The sequence below is a fragment of the Homo sapiens genome, chromosome 18 (genome assembly GCF_000001405.40).
Source record: "Homo sapiens chromosome 18, GRCh38.p14 Primary Assembly".
In the NCBI taxonomy this organism is placed as follows: Eukaryota; Metazoa; Chordata; class Mammalia; order Primates; family Hominidae; genus Homo; species Homo sapiens.
The window spans coordinates 5375653-5396943 of record NC_000018.10 but is presented as its reverse complement, the minus strand read 5'-3'; the positions used below and the strand labels follow the sequence as shown (position 1 = coordinate 5396943).

Genomic DNA, 21291 nt, shown 5'->3' with positions numbered 1-21291 from the left:
TAGTGTATTTCTCCTCTCATTTCCTTCTTTCATACCTAGTAGGAGTCTCCACACTGATTTCCAGCTTTGGTGTCACATGCAAACATATCTCTTAATTATTAATAATATGGCACCAGGAAATGGTTTCTACTCTCACTGAAATTATTATAATTGGCAGTAAAATTGGGAAATGCAAAGTTGGCCAAGATATTAGAAAATGTGATACATTTATTTCTTATCAGTGCACTTTTCCAGAAGCACCAAAACCATGTTTACCCGGGTCCTAAATGCCAGAACTTTATTCTTTATCCTCTTTTATTGAGATTCCTGAAGTATTTGGGGAGTTAATGTCTCATTATTAGTTTCTTCTTTCTAAGAAGTTATTAAATAGAAAACTTTTTTTTATTGCCTTCAAAATGTTTTGCTTTACTTGGAGCATTTCATATAAAAGTGCTATGAGAGTCCAGGAGACTGACATGTGCATGTTGTATGCCTCATTCCCCAGCTTACTCTCTACATAAACATTTATAGCATACTAACCTGTGCTTATAACCACCAAGAGAGGAAAAGGAAGAAAACAATGTGTTCATGCAAACTATAACAGCCACTCTGCTTACTCCCCTTTGGCACAGTCCTCAACGGTGAAGACGGAAACCATCAGTTTTGGCAGTGTTTCACCGGGAGGAGTAAAGCTAGAAATTTCCACGAAGGAAGTGCCAGTAGTTCACACCGAAACCAAAACCATCACATATGAATCATCACAGGTGAGATATTCTGTGAAGACCAGAGCCCTGGCTGCTTATTTCACCCCTCTATGGCCTAGTGTGTTTACATAGAACTGCACGATATTTAATTCATGAGACTTAGAGGATCCAGCAGCCAGACCATTTCTATTAAAAGTGATGCAATAATGGTCATTTTATTAGTGATCAGGGAGCAGCAGATGACTTAACCAAGTCTTTATGTGTCTTGAAGTGTAGAAAAAGGCTCAGAAACCTGTTTCCCTAGCCACAGAGAAAGAAAAATATTCACTCACCCATCCACCACTCACATTTCTGAAACCTTAGTTTTTTTAATGACAGTTACCTGTGGTTGCACTTAGTACTTATTCTTGGGAGCAGCGCTCAGACTCTGAAGAGCATAATGATTGCATAATAGGAGATAGTGAAATTGTCGTAATGCCTTAAATAACGTAGCCAACTTCTGAAGAGCAGATGTGAGCACCTGGATGAGGGGTCTATGCCTCTGCTGCTTTAGGTCGATCCAGGCACAGATCTGGAGCCAGGCGTGCTGATGAGTGCACAGACGATCACATCTGAAACCACCAGTACCACCACCACTACGCACATCACCAAAGTAAGTGGAGTGAGAACCGAGAAGAGGATTCCTTGAGAGCGAGCTGGAGGAAGGTGCTTGTTCAGAACTCCTCACAGGTTGGGCTGCACAAGCACAAGGTGGCTTGAAGCTCAGGACGCCGGGATAGCTGCAAGGGGAGCTTTTACAGCCCCTAGATTTACGATGCACTTGTCCTCACGTGCGAGTTCCCCTTTAGGAATATACATTCTGATATCCTAAGCTTAATGCTTACTCCAGTGCTTGGCATGTGGTAGTGTTCCAGAAACATGGGCCATCCAGACCCAAGGGCCTCCATTCCGTCCTCACCTCTGGAATTAAAAATGTGAAATAAGTGCCATAGAACTCTAATTTCAATTCTCGAAGAGTGAATGATGTCAGCATCTTCGGCCATTTCCCCCTACTGAACCATGATGGTTTCTCCCAGTGAGTAAATTCATAAAGCTTCTCTACGTGTCTTGCAGACTGTGAAAGGGGGCATTTCAGAGACAAGAATTGAGAAGCGAATAGTCATCACGGGGGATGCAGACATTGACCATGACCAGGTAGTGTGTGTGAGACGGTAAATACCCTGGCAGAGAAACAAAGAAAAACCTGTTGGTCCTACAGTTTCAATGCTATTCCTCTAGTCCAGCATGTATTCCGAAGAAAATTCCGAATTAACTTTCCAATATATGATTTATGATTCCTTTTGTAATCATTGTACCTCATTTGTAAATTGTGGATATAGATCTAGCTCATAAGTCTCCACCTCACCACTGATCATGCATGTTCCACCTCCTTTTTGTTTCTGCCCTTCTGTGATTTCCCGGGGATAGGCGCTGGCTCAGGCAATTAAAGAGGCCAAAGAGCAGCACCCTGACATGTCAGTGACCAAAGTAGTGGTCCATAAAGAGACAGAGATCACACCAGAAGATGGAGAGGATTGACCAGAGGTAAGAGGTGATGCCGATTCTCTAGGCTTGCCTAGGCTGGCATGAGGCATGGGGCACTTCCCTCTCATCCTTCACCTGATCCCTCCTTTCCTCTGTTCTCTCACTGGCATTTGTTGGGCTGGTTACCAAGAGGATGGAGAATTGGTTTATGGGTTTGTCTCACATTTGGAGCTTCCATTCTTGTGGAGTTTTTGCATGCACTGCCAGTTAGAGGATAAAGGAAGAGCAGAGTCTATGCTTCTATGCTTGTGTGGTCTTCCTGGTGTTCCCTTTTATTCCATGGCCTGCACTCTTTGATTATCCAAATTTGTAATGGCAAATTTGATTTTACTTGCCATGTGGCCTAATTGGAACAAAGGCAGTTTTGCTCTGAGAGGCTCAATTTGTGTGTTCCAAATACTAGGGAAATAATATATACCCCTTTCTCCTTCTGATGGCAACATTATCCCGTCGTAAGCTTTCTCTTCAACTGTGTTTGATTGTAACCTGTTTATGCTTTTGTCTTTAGTTTTGTTTTTTTAATTTGAAAGCTGAGCACTCACTTTCTTTTTGGATGTCTTATATTTCCTGTATTCTTTGGGATGATTTTTCTCCCTAGCGTAGCACTGTCTCAGAAGGAGGCAAAAAAAATGCAGTCTTGTGGTCCTGTAGAAAGCACATACCTTTCCAGTGACTGTTTGGCCAGCATCATGAGCAGACTATATCATCTATGTGAGCACAGACTTGTCATGCATAGTCACCTGCCATGCAAGATCTCATGGGGCCATGAGCGTTTCTGAGAGGGCTTTGAATGCTGAATGCAGCAGTCGAGCGACTTGCACAACTTGGTGATGTGATAAAATGTTTAAGAGATTTCATATATTAGTAAGTTTTCTAACATCGGTTTAAGAAACAAATTGATGAGTGGCATCTCTTAAAAGAGAAATATAAAAAATACTCATTTTACTCAAATGAATAATATATTTTGGACGATAGCAAAAAAAATAAAACAGATTTCTTCCATGAGCTTCAGCCACTTGGGCGTTGTTGTAATTACTTAAGAGAAAGCATGTAATTGGCAGTGACTTAACGCTGGAATGTCATGGCATCTTGTCCAAACGAGCATTCTAACTTCCAGGATACTTTTTTTGTGTCCTTGATCTGAGAAAATCTTTCAGTTGTTTTCAAATGAGTAACTAATCAAATGTCTTTTTTGCAGGAATAACTTAGCTTGCACATGAATGCAGTCATGCAAACCGTTAGGAAAACCAGAGCCTATATGGAGTTCCCTCTTCTAACCCAACTGACTTGTATCTGTCCGTGGAAAATTTCAGTCCAGAAGAATTGACCTTGACCATTAATAAAGACACTGGCAGAGAGATCTTCCCATAATAAAGCAATCTGATTCAGCATCACTAAACCGATAATGCATGAAGCAACGATAAAATTACAAAAGAGCAGCATTTTTAATTTTCACAAAATGTCTCAGTTTTCAGCTATACCTGCACGTTCATAACCAACAATATAAACCGTGGTCTCATGTAACACATAAACAATTCATGCCTTTCATAGTTTATTATTATTAAAGTCTAAACAAAATTGCAATTTCTTAGGTAACCTTATATTTACAATAAATGAAGATTACCCTCAAATGCTAGAAGCTGTCTAGGTCCGTCCGGTGTGTCAGATTTTCCTCAGATTAGATGTGCCAATAACCAAGTTTATTCAGTAAACAACTTGTACTTGTTTCATCTGGTTTTATTACTCTCACCCATAAACAGTAATGACTCTCTGACCCTCTGGAAATATGTAATGCTTCCAATCTTGCTTTGTGTATCTCATTTAATTTGTTATAAGGTAGTACTGATTTTAGCATATTAATGCGATTTCTTCCTTGTTGTTTGCTTTGGTCTGTGTTCAATCCAGAGAGCTTAAATTGTCATTATTTTGGGAAGAAAACCTGTATTTTTGTTAGTTTACAATATTATGAAATTTCACTTCAGGAGAAACTGCTGGGCTTCCTGTGGCTTTGTTTTCTTAGTTACTTTTTCCGTGCCGTGTATTTTTTAATTGATTTTTCTTCTTTTACTTGAAAAGAAAGTGTTTTATTTTCAAATCTGGTCCATATTTACATTCTAGTTCAGAGCCAAGCCTTAAACTGTACAGAATTTCCACTGTAATTAAAACTATTTAGTGTTAGTTATAAATAGCCTTCAAAAAGAGAGATTCTCCATTACACGATCACCTGCATCACAGCCCATGGTGAATGTATGTTTCTGCATAGCGAAATAAAAATGGCAAATGCACTGAAAGCTCTAAGTTTGTATGTTTAATAATTTCAGTATTGTATGTGTTTAGTCCAGAAGTAATATTTGCATGACATCAAAGGCCTTATTCAGCTGCACGGTAGAGATATCCTGTCTTTACAAGATTGAAAAAAAAAAACCCCACAGAGTATACAGTATGCAGTGTCTGTACCCTTTGAGGGATTGAAGATGGGAACAAAGCAGATATATTTAAATATTTGGTTGCCTAAGAAGGCTTTAAAAAATACATCATTGAATCTCATCCTCAAAGTTTTAGGTTTTTTTTTTAATAAGAGACAAGGCTGTGCTATGAAACAGGGTTGCTCAGCCTGCAATCTCATGACCTGTTTTAACAATCACTGTCCCCGTCATCCATTTCCTTCGTTATATCCATCTCTTCCCAGCACATCCATTGCTCTGTTAAGTCAATGTCGACCCTAGTTGTTTTAAAAAATCAACATGGAGTCTGGAGTGTGAATTTGAAGTTGCTTCTAACTTACAAATGAGTGTTACACGTTCCTTCCATTAAGTGCTTTTTTTTTTTTTTTTTTTTTTTTTTTTAGTCTTTCTTACTGCTTCAAATTAACCGGTATGGAAGTTTCTGCCTTGGGTTGCCATAGAGGTGGCCCTGTATTTTAATGGGCATTTACTCATGAAGTAAAATTGGACTGTTCCATTTAAAAAAAAAAAAATTGTGACAGGCCATCGGTGCATGTAAAATTGTGTTCTCAGAAATGACATTTGTTTTGACAAATAGTTTCTTATCAGAGCTGTGTAAGCTCTGAAGGAGGGTGACAGAAGGACCTGATCCTCCCCCATGAGTGTGGCTATTAACACACGCATGCATGCACGCATATGCTCTGCTCAGGAAATGGGGATGGGACAGCAGAAAGACTGGCTCCGAGGGGCTTTGTCGTGCCCTATCTCGACATCACTCCACTGTTGCTGGTACAGAACACCGTCATGTGGTTTAATGCCACAAAATTTCAGGGACACTAAAAGACATCTAACTTGATAACAAGAGGTCAATTCTAAGAATAAACCTTACAAAGAAGTAGCTATGAATAAAAACAACATTCATATGGGTGTTCTGTTCATCCTATTACATGAGTCAGAAACCTGGGAGACTTGGGCACCAGTGTCTTTCTTGCCCATCATTTTCCCAGCCTGCCAATAACATTTCTTCACAGTCTCTTTAATCTAGCCAAGGCAGTGTACCTAGATTATTCCAGTAGCTCACTGACTCATGTTCTCACATCACTTCAGTCCCTTACACTGTAGCTTGCAATCTTTCAAGAAATACAAATGTAATCTTCTCATCCTTGTGCTTAAAATGTGTTTTTGGCTTTCTATCGCTTGTAGTATAAAGACCTTAATTTTTTTTTCTTCAACTTTTAGATTCAGAGGGCACATGGGCAAGTTTGTTGCATGGGTATATTGCATGATGCTGAGGTTTGGGGTATGATTTAACCCAGCACCTAGGTAACGAGCATAGTACCCAATAGACAGTTTTTCAACCCTTGCCTGCCTCCCCCATCTCGTAGTCTGCAGTGTCTATTGTTCCCATCTTTGTGTCCACGTGTGCCTAATGTTTAGTTCCCACTTATACATGAGAACATGCAGCATTTGGTTTTCTGAATCTGTATTAGCTCGCTTAACAATAATGGCCTCCAGCTGCATCCATGTTGCTGCACAAGATGTGATTTTGTTCTTTTTTATGGCTGTGTAGTATTCCATGGTGTGTATGCAGCACATTTTCTATCCAATCCACCATGGGTAGACACACCTGGGTTGATACCATGTCTTTACAATTGTGAATAGTGCTGTGATGAACGTATGCATGCATGGGTCTTTATGGTAGAATGATTTATATTCCTTTGGGCATATACCCAGGAATGGGATTGTTGGGTTGAATGGTAGTTCTATTTTTAGTTCTTTGAGAAATCTGCAAACTGCTTTCTACAGTGACTGAACTAATTTACCTTCCCACCAACAGTGTATAAGTGTTCCCTTTTCTCCACAGCCCACCACGATTCTGGTTTTTGTTTTGTTTTGTTTTTGTTTGTTTGTTTTGAGACGGAGTCTTACACTGTCACCCAAGCTGGAGTGCAGTGGCACCATCTCGGCTCACTGCAACGTCTGCCTCCCGGGTTCAAGTAAGTCTCCTGCCTCAGGTTTCTGAGTAGCTGGGATTACAGGTGCGTACCACTCATGCTGGGCTAATTTTTGTATTTTTAGTAGAGACGGGGTTCCACCACATTGGCCAGGCTGGTCTCGAACTCCTGACCTCAGGTGACCCGGCTGCCTTGGCCTCCCAAAGTGCTGAGATTACAAGAGTGAGCCACTGCGCCTGACCTTTTTTTTTTTTTTTTTTTTTTTTTTTTTTTTTTTTTTTTTACTTTTTAATAGCCATTCTGAATGGTGTGAGGTGGTATCTCATTATGGTTTTGATTTGCATTTCTCTGATGACTAGTGATGTTGAGAATTTTTTCATACGTTTATTAGCCACTTGTATGTCTTCTTTTGAGAATTGTCTGTTCATGTCCTTTGCCCACTTCTTAATGGGGTTATTTTTTGCTTGTGGGTTTATTTAAGTTCTTTATAGATTCTGGACATTAGTCCTTTGTCAGATGCATAGTCTGTGAATATTTTCTCCCATTCTGTAGATTGCCTGTTTACTCTGTTGGTAGTTTCTTTTGCTGTGCAGAAGGTCTTTAATTAGGTCCAACTTGCCAATATTTGTTTTTGTGGCAATTGCTTTTGAGGACTTAGCCATAAATTCTTTGCCAAGAAAGGCTTCAATTCTTCTAACCTGGCCCGAAGCCTTGCATGGACTGGCTGCTCCCCACCTACTTCTCCAGCCACAGATGCAACAGTGTGTCTGCTTACTCTGTGATCCCTGTCCGCCTCCACCACACTGGTGAAGTGCTGGAACTATTCTCAGCCCTGTTTTACTGGGCCCCAAATTTTGTTATAGGTTTGAGCTCAAATGTTCCCTTCCTGATTTTACAGATCAGCTTTCCCTATTATACACTCTCAAAGCAACATTTTTAGTAGAAAATTTCATGATTGTCATTTTTATTTATCTGCCCAATTCTTTGAATGAATCTCTTCTGCGTGCCATGGGTCTCACAGATGGCCCACATCCAAGCATAGTGCCTCCATAAGTGGTGCTCAATATTTGTATGAATGAATGAACACATTGATAAAGGTTACTTTGCTAAGATAAATTTGAAACATCAGTTTTTTTCCGAGTTTTCTCTGAAGCCCAGCAAGTGTGGGGGAGTGGCTCCCCATGGAAACAGTTCCTATTTCAGGTCCCTCAACAGCTCTCATGATTATGCCATTGTCATTGAGTCAGTCACTGGGAATCACCCCCTCAGCAAATGATGGTCTCTCCCAGAGATCTGCCATTCATTAGATATGACGGGTTGGGTTCAGCTCTCTGATTAGAAGGGGTTACACATTATTTCACATGTACTGATGTCAGCCTCAGTTCAGTTGACATCCGGTCAAGGTCTGTTATTGTTGAGCTCTAAACTTTAAGTATATTTGAAAGTGGTCTTGGAAGCTGGAGTTGCCCTATTTCAAAGAGTCGAATAGTAAATTTCACTAGATACACCATTTGTAGATAATGGAAGTCTTAACCACTTCATAATATCTTTCTTTCTCAAGTTCATTAATTATTCAGTCTTGGCATAGCAGAGGTAAGAGAGTAAGTAATACAGGCTTAAAACCCTGGGGTTAGTTTCAACTCCTTTATTTCCTTTGCAGTGTGAAAGATCCATTACATGTAACCTTCCTTTACCATCCTACTTTAAGCCCTCATATCTCTCACCTGGACTGTTGATCAGCTGCTAACTGGTCTCTAGGTTCCATTCATCTACTACTACCACCCCACCCCAATGCCCCCTGCTCCCCACACCCCAAGTTCTTTAGGCTGCTCATTTGTCATTCTTAAAGGTGCCATCATGACACAACTAAAAAATCCTTTGGGGATATCCCTCACTCATTCCCTAAGGCTCAATTCTGAACTCCTAAACTTGAGTTAAAACTACGTATCGGCCAGGTGCGGTGGCTCACGCCTGTAATCCCAGCACTTTGGGAGGCCGAGGCAGGCAGGTCACGAGGTCAGGAGACCGAGACTATCCTGGCTAACACAGTGAAACCCCGTCTCTACTAAAAATACAAAAAAATTAGCCGGGCATGGTGGCGGGCACCTGTAGTCCCAGCTACTCGGGAGGCTGAGGCAGGAGAATGGCGTGAACCTGGGAGGCGGAGCTTGCAGTGAGCCGAGATCGCACCACTGCACTCCAGCCTGGGCGACAAAGCAAGACTCCGTCTCAAAACAACAACAACAACAACATTAAAACTACATATCCTGTATCCCACCTTTCTTTCTGCCACATTATACAAGATGAACTTTATACTTGTATTAACATGAGATATACCAATGGTCATAGCAGCATTATTTACAGTAAATGGTGAAAACAGCCCAACAGATGAATGGCTAAACAAACTGAGATATATACACGCAATGGAATCTTATTCAGCCATAACAGAGAATTAAGTTTTTTTTGTTTTGTTGGTTTTGAGATGGAGTCTCACTGTTGTCCAGGCTGGAGTGCAGTGGCACGATCTCGGCTCACTGCAACCTCCACCTCCTGGGTTCAAGTGATTTTCCTGCCACAGCCTCTCAAGTAGCTGGGATTACAGGTGCGCACCACCACACCAGCTAATTTTTGTATTTTTAGTAGACACAGGGTTTTATAATGTTGGCCAGGCAGGTCTCGAACTCCTGACCTCAGCTGATCCACCTGCCTCGACCTCCCAAAGTGCTGGGAGCCTCCCAAGTGCTGGGAGCTTCCCAAGTGCTGGGATTACAGGTGTGAGCCAACACTTCTGGCCCAGAATGAAGTTCTTACAGGTGCTACAACAAGGATTGCCCTTGAAAACTTAACCAAGTGAAATAAGCCAGACGCAAAAGGGCAAATACTATATGGTTCCTCTTATATGAGGTACCTAGAGTAGTCAGATTCAAAGAGAAAGATCATGGTTGCCAGGGGCTTCTGGGAGGGAAGAATGGGGAGTTATTGTTTAATGGGCACAAAGAGTCTTGGACAATGGAAAAATTTAGGAAATAGTAGTGATGGTTATACAACATTGTGAAGGTACTTAATGCCACTGAAGTATACACTTAAAAATAGTTAAAGTGACAGACTTCGTGTAATATTTTACCATAATAAAAAATACATTTGTCATCTCAACAAAGAGCTTTCCAAAAGTTCTTACTATCAAGATCAATGCTGGCCAGCCCCACCATGTGCTCCATGGTCCCATCCAGCTTGATGTTCTTATGAGCATCAGAGAAAAGCCTCTTTTGTGGAAGGTACGACCAAGAGAAAAAAAGACTATGCAAGATGGATTTTTTTTAAAAAAAGGAAAAACTCTTACGAATAGCCTCAGATCAGAGAGGACACCACATCCATGAAAAAAGACCAGAGAGCTACAGAGGAACATTCAGAGAAGAAAGAGCTTTTACAAATTGAAACATATTGGCAGAAATGAAAAATTCAGCAGAATGTTTGGGAATTTGGGGAAATCTAAAAATGCAGCAGAAAAAAAAAATGGAAAAGAAATGCAAGAAAAGATAAAAGCAAAGCACTCTAGAAGAAGCATACAAATAACTGGAGTTCCAGAGAGTGAAATGTTCATCACCATTATCAAAGTTCCCAGCTTTGAAATCGTGGGTTGGTTTCCGAGTGGCAATAGAGCATACCCTTTCCTTACACTGCTAAGTTCATGCTGGCTGCCCAAAAAATGTTTGTTTAGGGAAAGCTATGTAGGTGGTAAAACTAAAAGGCAAAGGAATGACTAATGCAAAAGTCAGAATGGTAGTTACTTCTAAATCAGGGAAGGAGGGTTGTGATAAGGGAGGTTCCCACTGGGCTTTCTGAGGGTGCTAGGCAGGAATGTTCCTTAGGTTAGTTACTGTTCTTTCACCTCTATGCAAACATTTTTTCTGTACTGTGTTTAACTTCAAAAATACATATTTTTAAGCCCTCGTCTTTTATTGTTGAGACAGGGTCTCACTGGAGTGCAGGCTGGAGTGCGGTAGCGCGATTAGGCTCACTACAGCCTCAATTTCCTGGGCTCACGTGACCCTCCCATCTCAGCCTCCTGAGTAGCTGGAACTGCAGGAACATGCCACCCCACTTGGCTAGTTTTTGCATTTTTCACAGAGACAGGATTTCGCCATGTTGCCCAGGCTGGTCTCAACCCCCTGGCTCAAGCGATCCTCCTGCCTCAGCCTCCCTAAGTGCTGGGTTTATAGGTGTGAGCCACTATACTCGGCCTTCTTTTACTTTTATGAGAGGAAATATGTCCCAGGACTAAAGAAACTTGGACTAAGAAGTCCTGGTTAAAGCGTGAACGCATCGATGATTAGATTTGAGATCTTAAAAAAAATAATTGACTTCTTTTATATATATATATATATATATATTTATATATATTTTATTATACTTTAAGTTCTAGGAGGAGAACATCACACACCAGGGCCTGTTGTGGGGTCGGGGGAGTGGGGAGGGATAGCATTAGGAGATATACCTAATGTAAATGACGAGTTAATGGGTGTAGCACACCAATTGACTTCATTTCTCTGAGTCTCAGTTCACTTATTCATAATGAAGAAGTTGTACTAGCTGATCCCCAAATGTTCCATCGAGTTTCATGTTCCGTGATGCCAGCTAAGCTATAACTGAAAATGATGGCCTAGGAAGTAGGCCTTTTCTGTCCGCAGGCCTCTCACCACAAGGTTATTAGTGATGCTCAAAAATCAGAGAAGGTTCAAGCTCAAAAGAATCTTTAGGACCATGGAGTTCAGGCAGCTCACAAAAGCAGTCCTTTAACATTGCCTTTGCCCCGTGGAAAGGTTCTAACTTAGAATCCTAAAGTGGAATGGAAATGGGTTTCTGAATACAGACACACACACACACAGAATAGCCTCTCAAGTTTCTTTGAGATAAATGTAATCTGTTAGAGACTGGCCTGTACTGCAAGTTTAGAAATATTGTTTCCATATTACAAGTTTAAGGAAAAGTTTATCTGCCAAAATAATAACATGGATTTCTAGAGCACCCCATACCATAAGGAGGAGCCAGAATATTTTCCAGCTGAATTCCAGTCTTACTCATTTTCCTTGAATGATACTGAAATCTAAATTATCCTTGAACACAAACAATGACAAAGAAATACAAATGTTCATGCAGTGTAATTTTCAACAATCAAATTGGCCAATCTGATTCTAATTCTAAGCTTTGCTGAGGATGCCAAGCAGAAGCCACGTGAGCACACTGCTGGTGAGTCTAAGTTGGTGATTTGGAGTAGGATTGATACCAATATAGAGTTAAATTGTGCAAAGTTCTCAGCCCAGCAAATCCAACTCCTGGAATTTTTCCTAAAGACACAGAGGTAGACAGCAGTTAATGTACAAGGATGAATAGCTCAATGTTGCTCATAAAAACCAAAAAGTTTTAAGTGGTCTAAATAGCAAAATGGAAATCTGTAAATAAATCATGGCATTACATAAAATAGAATACAGTGCAACCAAAAATTGTACAGTAAGCCAGGCGTGGTGGCTCATGCCTGTAATCTCAGCACTTCGGGAGGCCAAGGTGGGCAGATCACTTGAGGCCAGCAGTTCAAGACCAGCCTGGCCAACATGGCAAAACCCCGTCTCTACTAAAAATATAAAAATTAGCCGGGCATAGTGGCGGGCGCCTGTAATCCCAGTTAATTGGGAGGCTGAGGCAGGGGAATCACTTGAACCTGGGAGGCAGAGGTTGCAGTGAGCCGAGATCACGCCACTGCACTACAGTCTGGGTGACAGAGTGAGACTCTGTCTCAAAAAAAAAAAAAAAAAAAAAATTGTAGAATACCAGCCTGATAGAGGAAATCATCTTAATATGTTAAGTGAAAAAGTGAATAAATGAGCTTATACATTATGGTGCTAATTAGGGACAAAGCTTATCTCTGCACAGAAAATACCTGGGAAGATGTATACCAAAATGGTAGCAGTGATTTTTCTCTGAGGAGAGAGTGTATAGTGATTTTTTTCTTCTTTGAGCTGTTCTATTTTTGTAAACTCTTGTTCTAGGCAAAGTTTCTTCAAATGTCTATCACCATTATTATATTTTTTTAAAAAAAGAGTTTAAGAAATAATGTCAATAATTTTATCTAAGAACTGAGACTAATGGTGAGTGAGAGATACGTAAATGAGAAGAAAATTGGAAAATTGACTTTTTCCAGAACTTCAGTTATTATTACAATCTGCAAATGTTACAAATGCTTTTGTTAAATGCTTACTTCCTTAGTCACCTTCTAATTAGAATGGTGATAGATTAGTTTCTATTACAGACAATGAAGTTAGTAACACTTGATGCTAGATCTTTACAGATGTAGATGCTTCTCCTTGGATGCACGTTAGCAGTTTAGTCTGCATTTGCTTTTTAAGGGTGTTATTTCGTATACCATGTAAGTAATTTTGTGTCACTGTAGTATAATTGAAAATTTTCTATGTTTGCTGAACTTTTACCTCCCTCTACATAAAGCTATCACTGGCCCTGTTTCTGTTTGATCAACCATGGCCTTAAAAAAGCAAACAAAAACCATAGACTCTGAAGGCAGCAATCCTGTGCTTTGCCACTTACTAGCTCTGATACCTCAGGCCAATTATCTAGACACTCTGAGCCTCAGTTTACCCGCAGTTATAAAGGGAAGCACAGCCAGCTACACAGGTGGTTGTAGTTGTGATGAAACCCTTCAGCCATATGAGAAAGTATATGAGCAAGTAGGACATTCTTCGTAAAATGTGGAATGGTAGTTTGATGTAATAACAGTATTTTTCCTTCTCTCTCCTCAACACTGTGCATCATTTATCTATATATGAGAACTCAAAATGGTTTATCTCAAGAATAGCAATTGCCCCTGTTTAAGAAAAAGTAGCCCTAAGCTTGAGGAAGTTCCGTTCAGAAGCTGCAAAATCCTTTTCTTGGGATGTAATTCAAGTGATATGACTGTATCTAGGATCCTTCCCTGTAGCAGGGTCAATATTCACTTTATACAGGGACAAAAAAGAAATGTATGATTACTTATACGTAGGTGGTTCATGCTTTTCTATGGTGAGAGTTTAATATTGTCAGTGAAATGGTGAATCTGAGATGGCTGGCACAATGCCTGGCCATATTAAACAGGTAGTAAATGTGCACTGTTTATAAATCCAAAACCTAAATATGCAAGATCCTATGATTATTGCATTGCATATTGAAAGGTGTATATATATAAGGGATTGCATATATTTGTAGGTTAGAAATAATGATTTTCTATATAAGGGTTTATAATTACTTTAACACATTTTGTATGTGTTTGTAACTGAAATAACAAAAAGTCGGAATTTTCCAAGGAGGCACCAATAATAATCAGAAATAGTGTAATGATGCCCAAAAAAAGGGCTTCAGCGTTCATTTGTTGTAATCACCCTAAATAGGCCTTAAATGTGGGCTCTTCATAAAGCCTTAAAATAAACTAATGTGCAAAAGAATGAATCATGGCCACTTATAAAGATGTTCATAAAGAAGAACGTGGGAGAACAAAAAATCAACATGCAATATAATGAGCTAGCAGGTATAATAGTGGTGAGTGGAAATTAGGAGCCTGGAGGAGAAAGAGCCTCTCCTAGGTGGGATGGAAGAAGTGACATTGGAAGTGATGCTTGAAAGATATATAGTGGTCACCAGACACCAAAGGAGGTGGCGGGGTGGGGATCAAGACTCTCAGAAAATAGAAGCATCTCCTGCATAGGTCAGGTGCCCTTTGCCTTCCAAACAGCCATCTACTGCCGGTTCTGTCCCCTACTCTGATAACTGGGAACCTTAACCTACGTGAGCATTGAATGAAGACAAGCAGGGCTGTAAGGGAAGTGTCCCAAGAGTAAGAACATGAGTGCAGATGGCTGGGTACCAACTTGTGGTTGCAACTCCTGCTGCCAGAAGGAGCAGAGCCTTGGGTCTGAAGTCAACACTTTAATGAGAAGATTGGCCTGGAGGCAGAGGAAGGATTTCGGTGAATTGGGGCAGGTGATTGGGGTAGGGGGGAATCTTATCTCTAGTGATGGTAACAGAAAAACAAATCATAGAATGCAAATCACCCTTGGGGAGTAGCTTAGGATACCCTGCAAGAAGATTGGGAGGACTGGATTTCTTAACTAGTAGTCTGCCCCACTGTGTAATTCTAGATTTATATCATATTAGTGGCAATGTTTTCATGTAAGGAGAGTTTTAAAATAGAAGAGCTGTTTCTTGAAGTACAATGGAATAATAAGTGAAACTATGTGAAAAGATAGAACTTATAATTAAATGGATTTTTTTGTATTCAAATTCTCCATTAGCAGAAGTGGTTGGGATAGAGTATTTTGATTAGTTTAAACCATATATTTCCTACATGAGTTACAAATGTTTAAAGACTGACAATACCATGTCATATTCTAAGTGCAATAACACTATAAATAATTTCTTCTTTGATGATTCAGAACACCCAGGATCTTTCCATGTATGGCAGCCTTCATGTGAGTTCTCTTCTCACCATACAATGTTGTGGATACAGAAGGGAAGGAATTGGATTTGGATGAGTACTGAGCACCGATCACAGGACAGAGCCTCAAAGTTGCTTTTTGGAATAAATTTCTTATAGTAGCCTGTTCATCATATGACCTTCTCATACAAGTGGAATATAAAATGCAGTTCAGGCTGGGTGCAGTGGCTCACACTTGTAATCCTACCACTTTGGAAGGCCGAGGCAAGTGGATCACTTGAGGTCACTAGTTTGAAACCAGCCTGGGCAACATGGTGAAACTTTATCTCTACAAAAAAATATAAAAATTAACCAGGCATGATAGGGCATAACTGTAGTCCCAGCTACTTGGGGAACTGAGGTGGGAGAATCCCTTCAGCCCAGGAAGTTGAGGCTGCAGTGAGCTGTGATTGCGTTGCCGCACTCCAACCTGGGTGACGGAGCAAGAATCTGTCTCAAAAATAAATAAACAAAATGTAGTTCCTGTGCAAACATTAAGTACTTTGAATTTTTAAGAACTTGGATTTAAGGCAAAGGAAAGTTTCCTGCGAAAAGAAATAGGGTTGACTGATTGGAGCAGGACATCGCCTCCCTTGTGTCCCCAGATTATCAGGCGCATCTTGGGGAGCTGGCCAGCCTGGGATGTCACTGGCAGTGATTGAGATGTTGTCACTCAGATCTTAAAATAATGAGACTTTGCTTAGCCTCGAAGGTGTCCTAAGACAGGGCAGGAGGAGTGAAGGCAAGCATCGCTTCCCTGTGTAGGAATGATTTCTCAGGCTGCTTCTAGTCATTTCTGGGAAAGGAAGAGTTTTCTACCTATCAATGCCAGGGGTAGTAGACAGTGGAGAAAGGTGGGCACATTGGGATCTAGGGGCAACTGGAGCAGGAGGCACCAAGAAGCACAGTCAGGTCTGCACCTGGAGTTCCCTGGAGGGAATTGCAGAGGTTAGAGTGAGCCAGGCACCAGGCGACAGTCACAGGTGAGCACACATGCATACTGCAGGTCAGAGCTGCACAAAGGCTTGGTTCCAGGCAGGCATGAGGCAGGAGGGCCGAGAGCAACATCAGGCTTGACTGGCTAAATCCAGGAGCTTACCAAGAACTTGCAGCTCTGGATATAGGTGACTTTTAAAAAACATGGTATGAACTTGTTTGTCATTCCCCTTCCTCCTAAAGATAAACTAGTAGTGAGTGGGAGATGAAGGGGAGACAGAAATCTACTTGAGCATGCTGGTCAGTTGGGTACCCATTAATTAAGGATTGGTGATAAATGAATGTTATTTAAGAACTCATGACTAATATCTAGCTGTCATTCGGTTTCAATAGGCTATGAAATGCCTGCTGTGCCCAGAATGACTCCCGCAGAAATTTTTGACAAGCACTATGTGTTAAAAGGAATAAATACCTGACTTCAGTTCTTTTAGACATGAAAAAAGAAAAATGCTATTGCCTCTTACAAGGCCATGCATGAGTAGTGGTGACTTTTTTTTCTTTCTTTTTTTTTTTTTTTTTTTAAGAGTCTTGCTCTGCCACCCAGGCTGGAGTGCAGTGACATGATCTCGGCTCACTGCAAACTCCGCCACCCGGGTTCAAGCGATTCTCCTGCCTCAGCCTCCCGAGTAGCTGGGATTACAGACGCATGCCACCACACCTGGCTAATTTTTGTATTTTTTGTAAAGATGGGGTTTCACCACGTTGGCCAGGCTGATCTCAAACTCCTGACCTCAAGTGATCCGCCCGCCTCGTCCTCCCAAAGTGCTGAGATTACAGGTGTGAGCCACCACACCCAGCCAATAGTGGTGACTTTTAACCTCTCCCATCCAAAACTCCTCCCAACCTCTCATATTTTGCTCATTTCACCCCTTGGCTTACAGCTCCAGCCCCATCCCCAGTGCCATCACCCCACTCTAGGATGGCTTTTCAGGGAGCTCCTCCATTCTTGCTGGTTTCCCTTAACCCTATTTGTAAAGTGTTTCCTCCGATGTTGTCAGCCATCCCCAACACAAAAGTGTTCCATTTGTTCCTGCAAGAACACTCAACCTGTATAGCCACTTATTAGCTTTGTGATGTGAGGCAAGTTATTTAATATCTTCTTTCAAATCCACAAGGTGGGAGAATTTGTAAAATGGTCATTTAAACCATGTGAAAATGATGGTATATGACCAGCTCTGACCTACAAAAATATCAGTCTAGCTCTGACCTGCAAAAATATCAGCCTCCTATGCTGTGAGAATTAAATGTAAAGCAATTCAAGTAGCACCTGACAAGTTGTAAGCTATTATTCATTTCTACTATGACATTCAGACTGTGAATTACATCTTTGCCCAAGGCCCAAGGATAGCAAATGGACCTGTGCTGCCTCCACCTCCACCCATTCCCAAGAAGCCACTATTCCTTTATTGTAGGGCTCTTTTTCACTGAGCCCACGGGCCAATTGACACCCTTGGAGGATAAGAATCCCTGTCTCCCAACCTCATGTCCTACTCTTCTGGTCTCAAGAAATTTCCACGCTCCCTGTCCAGCTAGTCTATCAAAAGGGTCTCTCCTCTCTCTTGCGGTAAGGCACTGTGTGCTCCTGGCATTTTTCCACGGAATTTTTTTCATATAAATATTCTACATGGTGGTAAGGTCTTAGGTCACTGTTAATGCTTAGTGGCACTGCACTTACCTTTGGGTTAAGTGAGGTTTTCTGGACTTCTCTGGTGACTCAAGAACCTTTGTGTAATTTTGGTTTTTTGGAAGATATGTTCTGCATTTCAAACTCTCTACAAATCAACGTATCCTGCAGGTCTTATGGGCAGGGAAAAGGGAGGTGGTGAGCTCCCTGATTGGCTGAATATGACCCAAACAGGGCTAAAGAATAGCTTAATCTGTCTGTGGAAGTTATGTTTTGGCGGTGGGGGGGTGGGGGTGGGGGCAGTGGTTCCATGGATGAGTGTACTCAATAAAACATGCCCATGCAGCTGCTTGTCCTCCAACTGTCTTCACTCTAACAGTAGCCCAGCCTTTGCCACTCAGTTGTTTCAAATCTGCCCTTAATCTGTGAGCTGTCACTTCTAAATATCACAACTTCCCAAAGGTCATTCCTTAGTCTCTGAATTCACTCATAAACCTTCTGACTCCTGCCCTTCAATACTAGGTCCCAGCACAGTTGAATTAAATCTGCAACATATTTATGAAAATGAAATATTACAGAACTCAAGCCTATCTGTAACTTTGAAGAATTGAGGCAAGATAATAAAGATATAACATCCCTCCCCTCTTCTGAAATAATATGCTGAAGTACAAACTACATTATTTTTTAAAAATAAGGCCAGTGGCCGGGCACAGTGGCTGACACCTGTAATCCCAGCACTTTGGGAGGCCGAGGTGGGCGGATCACCTGAGGTCAGGAGTTTGAGACCAGCCTGGCCAACATGGCAAAACCCCGTCTCTACTAAAAATACAAAAATTATCCAGGCGAGGTACTGCAGGCCTGTAGTCCCAGCTACTCGGGAGGCTGAGGCAGGAGAATCGTTTGAACCTGGGAGTTGGAGGTTGCAGTGAGCCAAGACTGTACCACTGCACTCCTGCCTGGGTGACAGAGTGACACTCCATTTCAAAATAATAAATAATAACAATAATAATTAGGCCTGGTGTGGTGGCTCACATCTGTAATTCCAGCACATTGGGAGACCAAGGCAGGAAGATCAATTGAAACTGGTAGTGAGACCCTGTTACTACCGGTGAAAAAAAAATTAGCTGGGCATGATGGTGCTGCCTTTAGTCCTAGCTATTCGGGAGGCTAAGGGAAGATGATCACTTGAGCCCAGTTCAAGGTTATACTGAGCTATGATCAAAAGAATAGTATTAATGAGGCCCACCTTTCTCTGCTTTTCCTGAGTCTATTGCCAAAAGAAAAAACAGTTTCCAGTCATGGACACGATGGAGGCTTTTGTTTGCATGCCACAAACATCCTTTACAGTCCTGCTATTGTGGCAGAATGCATGGCTTCCCTATCATGTCAGCAAAATATGTTAGGAATTAGCACACAACCAGAAAAGCACCCAATTTATGTAGCAAATTAATTTAAAGTGGAAACATTTTCTGCACTGTTACTAAGGGGTATAAACCCAACCACCCCATCTAGGGTTAGGTGAAAGGAGGAGAGTAACAGCAAATATGATTCAGGCTGAAGATAGGGTTATTTGGCTGGTTCTAGGAATGAGAAGCTAATAAAACAATTCACTCAAGTAGCTTTTTGTGTGTGTCTACTAAAATTAACTCAGTTGCCCCTCCATCAACTTCATTTTGCATACACAGTTGGATAATTGCGTATTTAACATTTTGATTCATTTTTACACTGAGAAAGTTTGTGCATATTTTCAAACTATATCCTGAATGCAAACTTAGCATACTATTTAAAGGATATATCATTTTGCATATATAAGGTATTCCAAAGAGTGGTGACATTTTCTTTTTCTAACTCAAAGAAGAGAAGATACTAGCCCTGGATTTTAGAGCCTCTTCAGGTTCCTTCTCATCTAACCCAGGTTTAGCCCACTCAAATATCACATGCATTCTAAATTTAAATGCTGCCAGATTTGTATAACATCTCACTTCTCAGTGTATTTGCAGCAATGTTGCAAGACATCGCTCTATTCCAGAGATCATTTTGCTCGGCTTTCAACAGTTTTTTAAAGAGGCTTGAATTTTTCTGGGGACGTGCTACCTAGGTTGATTTCAGAGGAGTTGTCCACGAATGTTGAGCAGCCAAATGATACAAGGCATTTGGGGACCAGAAGGACACTGAGCTAGCTGCCTCCCAACTAAATGAGAAGGTGCTGCCTACATTCCAACCCAAGTCTGCTGTTTCATAAAGCTGACTTTCAAATTCCCCCTGCTTATGATTTGTGGTGACTTTTTCAATTAGCCTCGACTGCTGGATGAATGCTGCTCCAGATGTGGGGCTCAACTCTGATAATCCCTTGAAGAGCACAAACAGCAAGAAGCTATTAATCAGCAAATCACAAAATTCTAATCACCAGGGCTTGACTTTAGACGATGGGCTGCTTCAGCCCCGTAGCCCAAGACCTGAACTATGAAGAGCCACCCTTTCTACCGAGCTCTAGAGAAGCCTCAAATCCATCCACATCTTGGCCTGTCTCCATCAAGTGGATTTTAGCGTGGGAGGCAGTGCAGTCTGGATTGGGGGCAGGAAATGACTCTGGGCTTGAATCCTAAAGGATCTCCAGTAGAAAATCACATCTATACAAATAATGGCCCCTGAAAATATGTTGATATTATTGGGCCTTTGAAATGCCTTCAGTGTGGTCTATTATTTTATGAGCAGCATTTGCCACAACTCGTTCTACCCCCGTGAAGTCCAAACTTTTCATTGTGGCATTCAAAGCCACTTATAGCCGAATCTATCTACCTTTCCACTTCAATTCCAGAGACTTCCCAGCTCAACCCCTAGCTTGGAGTGTAGACACTGTTGGGCCCTCATCCCTCAATGCGAAGCCCATATTCACACTTGAGGGCATGTGTTCAGGATGAGCCCTCTGTGTTAGAGCTTCCAGACCGTTTAAAATTAATAGCCCATGAAAGTGGTCCTTTCGTATTCATAGGTTCTGTATCTACAGATCCAACCAACCATAGATCAAAATGTAGTTAGGCCTATAATGGTTGTGTCTGTAACTGAACATGTAGAGACGTTTTTTTCTTGTCATTATATCATTAGAAATTGCAAATATATAATTATGATAATTTTGCATGGCAAAAGGGGAAAAAAAGAAAGCATTTTAAGATATCTGTGGGTTTTTGTGAAAAATTACTTTATATAATTATGCTAAAATATAAAGACTATATCATGGAATATAATTATGATTTTAAAATAATATTTTAAGTAGAATATTCTAAAATATTAATGATCAATTTAACATGGTTCTTGTTTTTATTTTTAAAATATCTGTTTTTAATGCTTGACATGGTTCCACATTATTCCTGAACAATAAATTTTAGTGATTATTTCTTAAAATTCTGATAGTCTCCAATGATGAGGAACTTTTTCTTTAAACAACTAGGTAATAAAAATTTAAAAACCATTGATTCTGTGATCATTCGAA

At 40.9% G+C, this 21291-nt stretch overlaps 1 protein-coding gene across 61 annotated transcripts in view, besides 1 other annotated feature; it reads left to right on the top strand.

Annotated features, from left to right (window-relative positions):
• EPB41L3 (erythrocyte membrane protein band 4.1 like 3) overlaps positions 1-4558 on the top strand; it is a 238278-nt gene extending 233720 nt beyond the window's left edge. For 19 of the 61 annotated variants that reach the window (NM_001384702.1, NM_001384706.1, NM_001384700.1 and 16 more), the window contains 5 exons: positions 612-743; positions 1237-1335; positions 1797-1877; positions 2151-2267; positions 3466-4558. In NM_001384702.1, coding sequence (NP_001371631.1) covers positions 612-743; positions 1237-1335; positions 1797-1877; positions 2151-2261 — 423 coding nt within the window. In that variant the 3' untranslated portion in view covers positions 2262-2267; positions 3466-4558. Of the gene's footprint in view, positions 1-611; positions 744-1236; positions 1336-1796; positions 1878-2150; positions 2268-3465 lie in introns of those variants that run through there. The other 42 variants (XM_047437384.1, NM_001384703.1, XM_047437372.1 and 39 more) reach the window with 3 other exon arrangements.
• Positions 312-1511: an enhancer, noted in NCBI's record as "CDK7 strongly-dependent group 2 enhancer chr18:5395432-5396631 (GRCh37/hg19 assembly coordinates)". NCBI's record gives its function as "activates an origin of replication core promoter dependent on BRD2, BRD4, P300/CBP, MED14 and CDK7 cofactors, with strong dependence on CDK7, by STARR-seq in HCT116 cells {active_cell/tissue: HCT116}" and the evidence as "EXISTENCE:reporter gene assay evidence [ECO:0000049][PMID:35650434]".
• Positions 4559-21291: the final 16733 nt, after the last annotated feature.